Source organism: Homo sapiens, chromosome 2 (assembly GCF_000001405.40).
Source record: "Homo sapiens chromosome 2, GRCh38.p14 Primary Assembly".
Lineage (NCBI taxonomy): Eukaryota > Metazoa > Chordata > Mammalia > Primates > Hominidae > Homo > Homo sapiens.
The window spans coordinates 47,152,769-47,160,081 of record NC_000002.12 but is presented as its reverse complement, the minus strand read 5'-3'; the positions used below and the strand labels follow the sequence as shown (position 1 = coordinate 47,160,081).

Below are 7,313 nucleotides of genomic sequence, written 5' to 3'. Positions count from 1 at the left end.
TAGTCTAGATAATTTTTTCTCGTGTGGGGAAGCATATGGAGATGGGTGGCAGAAATAGTGAAGGTGGGAAAGGAAGGAGAAAAGGATTGGAAAAGTGAGAAAAGAGGGAGAGAAGCACAGAAAATAAGAGGAACAAAATAAGGGGTGTAACTAAGGAGAGATTGAAGAGGAAGGCCGAAAAGATGGGGATCTATGGGGGCTGGCTTAGTGTAGTCACCTTTTGGGGGCCACCATCATGCGTGCCCACAACATTCCTCCACCACCATGTGTGTCGTACTGTGCTACTGTGTTAGATCCAGGATACCTGTGAGTTGCCTCTGCCCACAGAACAAGATGGTGGCAGTCATGGGAAAAGAGGGGCAAGTTTTTTGTTTTGTTTCTTTATCCAGATTGTATTTGACAACTTCAAAAGGCCCCAATGAAAGACTCAAAAACTTAAGTGTACCTAGTATGGGAATTGGCATAAAGTAGGTATTTACTGTTTCCTACCTTTATAGTTTTCAACTTTGGCATTTGTCCATGTTGACTTAAGCTGTGCAGTGATGTTTTAAATGTTTGCATGTTCAAAAAAAAACCAAATCTAGTTGGGGTGAGCATCCTTATAGTTTTACTTCTATTAACTAATATTTTATTCATTGTGCTTTTTAATTCTATAAGATGAGAATTTTCAGCTTGCCCATCTGCAACATTTTGCAAAAAAAGATGTCTTTAGGAGTAAATTGGCAATGACTACACCTTGTTTTAGTTTTTGCTGGCTTCTATCATTGCTTTCTCTATAATTTGAGCTACTCCAAAGGTGGTTATCAGGGTTTTTATTTTTTTAAAGTACCTTTTAAATGCTTAATGAAAGATTCCATAGCAAACCAGAGCCAAGATTAAAACATTGAGTGTAATTGTTACCTGGTTATTATAGCTACAAGGTCTTTAATTTCCCAGGGGTAATTCATTATTTGGCAGGTTACTGCCCCATTGACTATCTTAATACTACTATTAGTATGTTTTAGAGCAAGGGAAGTTACAGGCATTGATAGTTCTAATGGTATCACATACTCGGGTAATCAGTTAAATAGGAAGATTTTAGATGTGCACTCTACTCCCCTTAATTGGATGTAGTAAATTTTGTCGAAAGGAAATCCAAACAAGGTTTGTTTTTTGTAAAGACAGGGACTCATGTTGCCCAGGTTGGTCTTGAACTCCTGGGCTCAAGTGATCCCCTCACCTCATCCTCCCAAAGTGTTGGGATTATGAGTGGGGCTTTTTTAAAAGTTAAGTGAAATAATGAAAGTAAGGCCCTTAACATTGTCCTTGGCATTTGCATTAAGTGTTCCATTAATTGTGCTATTAAACCAGTTATGACCCTGAAAAATGAGGGACTTAGGCAGTCAATTTGTGTTTTTCCAGCGTCAACAATGAGGTTTATATAAATTGATATCAAGGTATAATTAACAAGGACAACAAAGGTAGGAGAAACATTTTTTGGGCTCTTCTATGTCATAATTGGTCATTTCTATTGTTGAAATCTTTACAAAAGTCACGAAGTCTTGGCATTTTGATTTTACAGGAAACGAGTAGAATGATTGTATAATTTAACTGTGGTCATAATGAGCTGGGTTCAAATCTGTTCCAATGCTTCCTACAACATAATCCTATTGGAACCCAGGACTGTGATATCACCTTCAAGTTGTGTTTTTGTTTTTGTTTTTGTTTTTTTTAGATGGACTCTAGCACTGTTGTCTGGGCTGGAGTGCAGTGGCGCAATCTCGGCTCACTGCAGCTTCTGCCTCCCAGGTTCAAGCAATTCTGCGTCAGCCTCCCGAGTAGCTGGGATTACAGGCGCCCGCCACCACGCCCAGTTAATTTTTTGTATTTTTAGAAGAGACAGGGTTTTACTATGTTGGCCAGGCTGGTCTCAAACTCCTGACCTTGTGATCCGCCCACCTCGGCCTCCCAAAGTACTGAGATTACAGGTGTGAGCCACCTCGCCCAGCCCCACCTTCAAGTCTTAACCATACTATTAGTGTTATATTAATAGGATTTTGGTAATTGTACCAACCATAATACTGTCTGGCATGTTTGCTCTCAGATGATTCTCCCAATAAACAACTATTGCAGTTAAATATCACCCTTGGTGTAACGTATTTTCCTAAAATTTTTAGAAGACGGCAACAATTTTAAAGATCTGATATGTAACAGAGGCACTGTTGAGCTCAATTATAGATATGTATTCTCAAGAGAAATGCCTCTCCCCCTTTTTGAAACTTACAATAATCTGGAAATAAATCTCAGTGATACTATATAAGATAATGTTTTCTTAAAGGAACACTATGTTTATCCTACGTGCTTAATCTGCTTTGTGGATAGTCCTTGAAATCATTGACCCATGCTGTTTCTATTTTTGAGATACTTAAACTATTTTCTCATCTAGATGTTCCCATCTCTAATGTCACACCTTGTATGGGTTTCTGGACTTCTCTGTACCTTTCATATTCTTTTAGTCTCGAGGGTACCAGTCCCTAGTCTGCTGAGCCAGTTTTACAGGCTCAGCCAAAATAAGAAAATGAAATGAGGCACAGGGAATGGACTTGATTAATCTCTTAACATTTGTGAGAACTTTGGTATTGCCTCTTCACTTTCTAATTTCAGTTGTTCATTTTAAACCTAGTGCCTGTTTTTTTTTTCAAGGCTATGTTAAATGAATTTAGAATCCCAGTATTTTAAGAAACTAGATGAAGTCCTCTAGTCTCTTGCTCCTCAAAAAGTCACCTACAGAATCACCCAGGAGCTTGTTGGAAATGCAGAATCTTAGGTCCTGCCCCAGAATTGGAATCAATCTGTTTTTTTAACAAGATCATCAGATATTTTGTATGCATATCAATTTTTGAAAAGCACTGCTGTAATCTAGTCTTGGATTTACTTAGAGGGGAAAACTAGTCAGTGGTTTATTCAACAAATATTTTAGTCCTTGTGTTCAAAGGGGTCAATTAAAAACCGTGTTTTGGGTGTTTAAAATTAGAGGAGAAACGATTTGTCATAAAATGAATCTTCCAACAATGATAGGCACAGGGTCCTTTGGGACTTAGTGGATTAGGCTTAGAGGTCTACTCAGAGGAGCTGACCCTTGAGATTTTCCAGGTGGTCAAAGAAAAGAATAGCATTTCATGCAGAAGAGCTAGCATATGTGGAGACAAATAGAAATGTGAAGATGGCATGTTTGGGGTTTTTGCAAGCATGATACAGCAGAGCATGCCATCCTAATAAGAGAAGTGGCCGGGTGTGGTGGCTCAACCTGTAATCCCAACACTTTGGGGGACCGAGGTGGGTGGATCATGAGGTCAGGAGTTCGAGACCAGCCTGACAAATATGGTGAAACCCCGTCTCTACTAAAAATACAAAAATTAGCTGGCATGGTGGCGGGCGGCCGAGGTTGTAGTGAGATCGCGCCACTGCACTCCAGCCTGGGCAACAGAGTGAGACTTCGTTTCAAAAAAAAAGAGAGAAGCGAGAGACTGGATTGTAAATGTTGCTTTTGTCCTAAAGGTAATGACAGCTCACATTTACTGACTGCACTGTGCCAGACATGGTTGTGAACAGTTCGAGTTAATCTTTTTTATAACCTATGTGGATAGGTACCAATTTTATTATCCCCTTCTCTATAGACAAGGAAATAAGCACAGAATAAGTCATTATATGCAACCAGCGTCCAAGTCCTGGTAGTCAAGGGAGGAGAGTGATTCAAGAATGAGGGAATAATCAATGCAGCAATGAAAATTGAAGGCCAAGTTTCATAAGAGCTGAAAATCCCCACTGGATTTGGCACTTGGATCCCTGGTGAGTTCAGGTGCAATTTTAATTAAAAGCTGTGTGCAGGCCAGATTAAGATGTTTTAAGGAAAGTATGGGAAGTGAGAAAAGAGTCCATATTACTCTTGAAAGTTTGTAAAGGGAAGCAGAAACTTCATGGTATAGGGCAGTGGAGCTCTAGAGTCAGGTCTGGATTTTAATTCTGGTTCTGCCATTTGTGTGTGATGCTGAGTGAACTGTGCTAAACGTCCAAGGAAACCTTTGTTTCCTCATCCAGAAAATGAAACTAATACCTACTTTGTAGGGTTGGTATGAAGATTAAATGAGACTAATGTGTGTGAAGTCCCTGGAATACAGTAGGTACTGTATAAAATGAAATTAAGGTTGTGGAGGGTTTGTTTTTAAAGGTGAGAATGTTCCTAGGTTAAGAAGAAGCTACAGCCTAGAGAGGCTGACAATAAAAAGGGTCTATACTGAGAAGAATGGGGTGGTCTGTGGTTTCACAGCTAGTGAAACCGGCTGTGTCTGGTGCTCACTCCACTCTGCAAGTCAGAAGCAAGAGAAGTCAGCCCCAGAGTTTCTATTTGGAGGAGCTTAGAAACAATCTTAGAAAGTGGGTGCTAAGGCAGATTTCTCTTAAGTATGCCTACCAAGCACACTGCCTCCCTGTCTGGGGTGTGCGATTGGTGGTGGATTGGAAGGGAACTAATGGAGATTGTGGGTACGCTCAAGCCCTTAACAAGCCTCCCTTTTCGCAGATCCTTACCCGAGGGCTCTCTAGCAACTCCAGAGCCCTCTAGATTTTCTTCTCACAAGCTTTCATAACCGTCTCTTTTCGAGGGTTTTCCTCTGCGCAGTTCTTCGCGCGGGACCTCAAAGTGCGTGCCCGCTTCCCTTCCCTGCAGCACTAAAGACAAACCTGGCGGGTCCCCCGGAGCGGTCCCAGGCGCGCGCGCTCGGGAGCCCACGGGCCACACCCGCCTCCTAGCAACCGGAGCTCAGGTTCAGCCTAGAGAGAGAGGAGGCCACCATGGACCAGCCAGCCGTCGCCACCGCTTCCACCTCAATAAGGGAAGACCTGGTGGGTGGAGAATCATTCATCACAGCTTCGGTAAGATGGCCTGCCCCTTGCCGGCCTGGCTCCTGCTCCCCTCACCAGGCCCACTACCCTTTTCCCACCGCTCTCTAATCCCAGGCCTTCGTGCCGCTCTCGTTCCCTCTTCCTACCCTTCTCTCCCTGCCCTCACGCACGTCTCCACCTGCGGACCTTCCTTCCTGGTCTTTATTGGACATTTCCTTTGTTTTATTTCTTTTCCCCTTGCTTCTTCCCTTTTCCTTCTCCTTCGCCCTTTGTTTTCTGTATTTTTCCCTTCTTCCCACTACTAATTAAACTGGACAACTGCTTTAATATGGTGATTGGATTTCTTTCCCTTTCCGCTCCATCTGCCGGAAGACTGGGTTTTTCCTTCTGTAGTTTTACTAGACACGTTTTGCTCCGCCTCCTACTTTAATATTTATAAAAATATTTGAAGCTACTTTTGCTACGTTTTTCTTTTAGAGTCTCGCTCTGTCACCCAGGCAGGAGTGCAGCGGTGTGATCTCGGCTCACTGCAACCTCCGCCTCCCGGGTTCAAGGGATTCTCCTGCCTCAGCCTCCCGCGTAGCTGGGATTACAGGCATGCACCGCCATGGCTGGCCTTTGTTACATTTTAAAATAAATGTGGGTGAGGGTTGTTTAACCTAATCTTTTATCTTTCCCCTTAGAGTGAATTTAAAGTGGTAGATAGATGGAATTTAGATCACCTGTCTTGGGCAAAACAAAACAGCAGCTGCCAATTGTCTTCCATTAGATTGATCGCGTTTACTTCTCTCTCCTTCCCATCTCATTTTCCTTATTCTGGGGTAGGGGTGGGAGGCCTGTCTTGACCTGCCTGAGAAAGTTGTATTTCTGTGACTATAAAAGTGCAACAGAGAAGATTCAACATAAATCTCGCGAAGAAGTATCAAAGAAGAAGCTCAGCTTTAGCAGTGTCATGAGAAAATGTTTTTTAAAGAAATTAACATATTTCATAATAAAATAAAGCCCAGTGGTACTCATAAGTACAGTAGATTTAAGTTACTAGACAGGAAGAATGAATTATATCAGTTTTACTGATTATTACTTTTAATGCAGTCCTGCTTGATGACCTATATTTTATAGTAATAAAGGCATTATAAATGAAAGGAGAACTCAACATTTTAATGATTTTATCTAGGACAAACAGCAATATACTAAACGGTTGTGTTCTGTGGACAATGGGCTGAAATAAATATGAAATAATAATGGATGAATGGGTATAGAGTACTAAATATGAAGACAAAAGCTTCCTTGGAAACTGAGGAATACCAAAATAATCAGCTTCTTAACTTGGCAAATGGGATGTTAAAAATTAAAGCTACCATTTATTAAGCACTGATTGTATATGCAAGTCTTTATAAGTACAATGCCTTAGTCTTTTTTTTCCCCCTGAGGTGGCTTCTTGCTTTGTCGCCCAGGCTGGAGTTGCAGTGATGTGATCTCGGCCCACTGCAACCTCTGCCTACGGAGTTCAAGTGATTCTCGTGCCTCAGCCTCATGAGTAGGGATTACAGCCTTCTGAGGAGGGATTACAGGCATGTGCCACCATGCCCAGCTAATGTTTTTGTATTTTTAGTACAGATAGGGTTTCAACATGTTGGCCAGGCTGGTCTTAAACTCCTGGCCTCAAGAGATCCACCCAACTTGGCCTCCCAAAGTGCTGAGATTACAGGCGTGAGCCACCACATCTGGCATACAATGCTTTATTCTCATGCCAACTCTGGTAGTGCCTTATTTTTATACTACTGTGAGGAAGCACGAGGGTTGGGTAACTCACCCAGTGCACCTAGCTGGTAAGTGGCAGAGCTGAGTTCCAGCCTAAGTCGGTCTGGCTTCAAGCCTAACTCTTTTCTTCCTAAGGACACCACATTTTGTCACATTTAAGATACTTACAACATCTCTGTGAGATGGGGGTGTTTATTACTCTAATTTTATCAAAGGGAATTTAGTTATTTGAAAGGACTTAAGACCATAAAATAACAATTTAAGGAAATATGGGCAAATTTATTATTATGTAGCTTTTATTTTAATGAAGACATATCAGTTGGGTATGGGTGTGAATTTCTTCAAGCAAATGTTTTATAAATTATATTTAATTTCAAGGGATCACCTCTCAAATGAATAAGCATACTTTGTGTTTGTTAACAGAAACCAGCCCAAAAGACTTCCTCTTTTGAAAGAGAAGGATGGTGGAGAATAGCATTAACAGTATGTACATTGTTCAGTCTTTCCTATTCACATTATTCCTATTCCATTAATATTTTAATCAATTATAGCTTTTAAGACTAACACTAAATTGTAAGAAAACAGTGATTGTTCAGATCTGCATGGACCTCATGTCATACTTAAAATTTTAGTGTCAGCATATGAATAAGAAACTAACTTTTAATTTTGAA

The 7,313-nt window shown here is 41.1% G+C and overlaps 1 protein-coding gene across 2 annotated transcripts in view, besides 1 other annotated feature; it reads left to right on the top strand.

The window, feature by feature from the left end:
• Nucleotides 4,097–4,256: an enhancer, noted in NCBI's record as "active region_15722". NCBI's record gives its function as "activates an Ori minimal core promoter by ATAC-STARR-seq in GM12878 lymphoblastoid cells {active_cell/tissue: GM12878}" and the evidence as "EXISTENCE:reporter gene assay evidence [ECO:0000049][PMID:35858748]".
• Nucleotides 4,774–7,313, top strand: part of STPG4 (sperm-tail PG-rich repeat containing 4) — a 68,318-nt gene continuing 65,778 nt past the window's right edge. For both annotated transcript variants that reach the window (NM_001163561.2, NM_173649.3), the window contains exons 1-2: nt 4,774–4,911; nt 7,066–7,125. In NM_001163561.2, the coding sequence (NP_001157033.1) occupies nt 4,831–4,911; nt 7,066–7,125 (141 nt within the window). In that variant the 5' untranslated portion in view covers nt 4,774–4,830. The remainder of the gene's footprint in view (nt 4,912–7,065; nt 7,126–7,313) is intronic.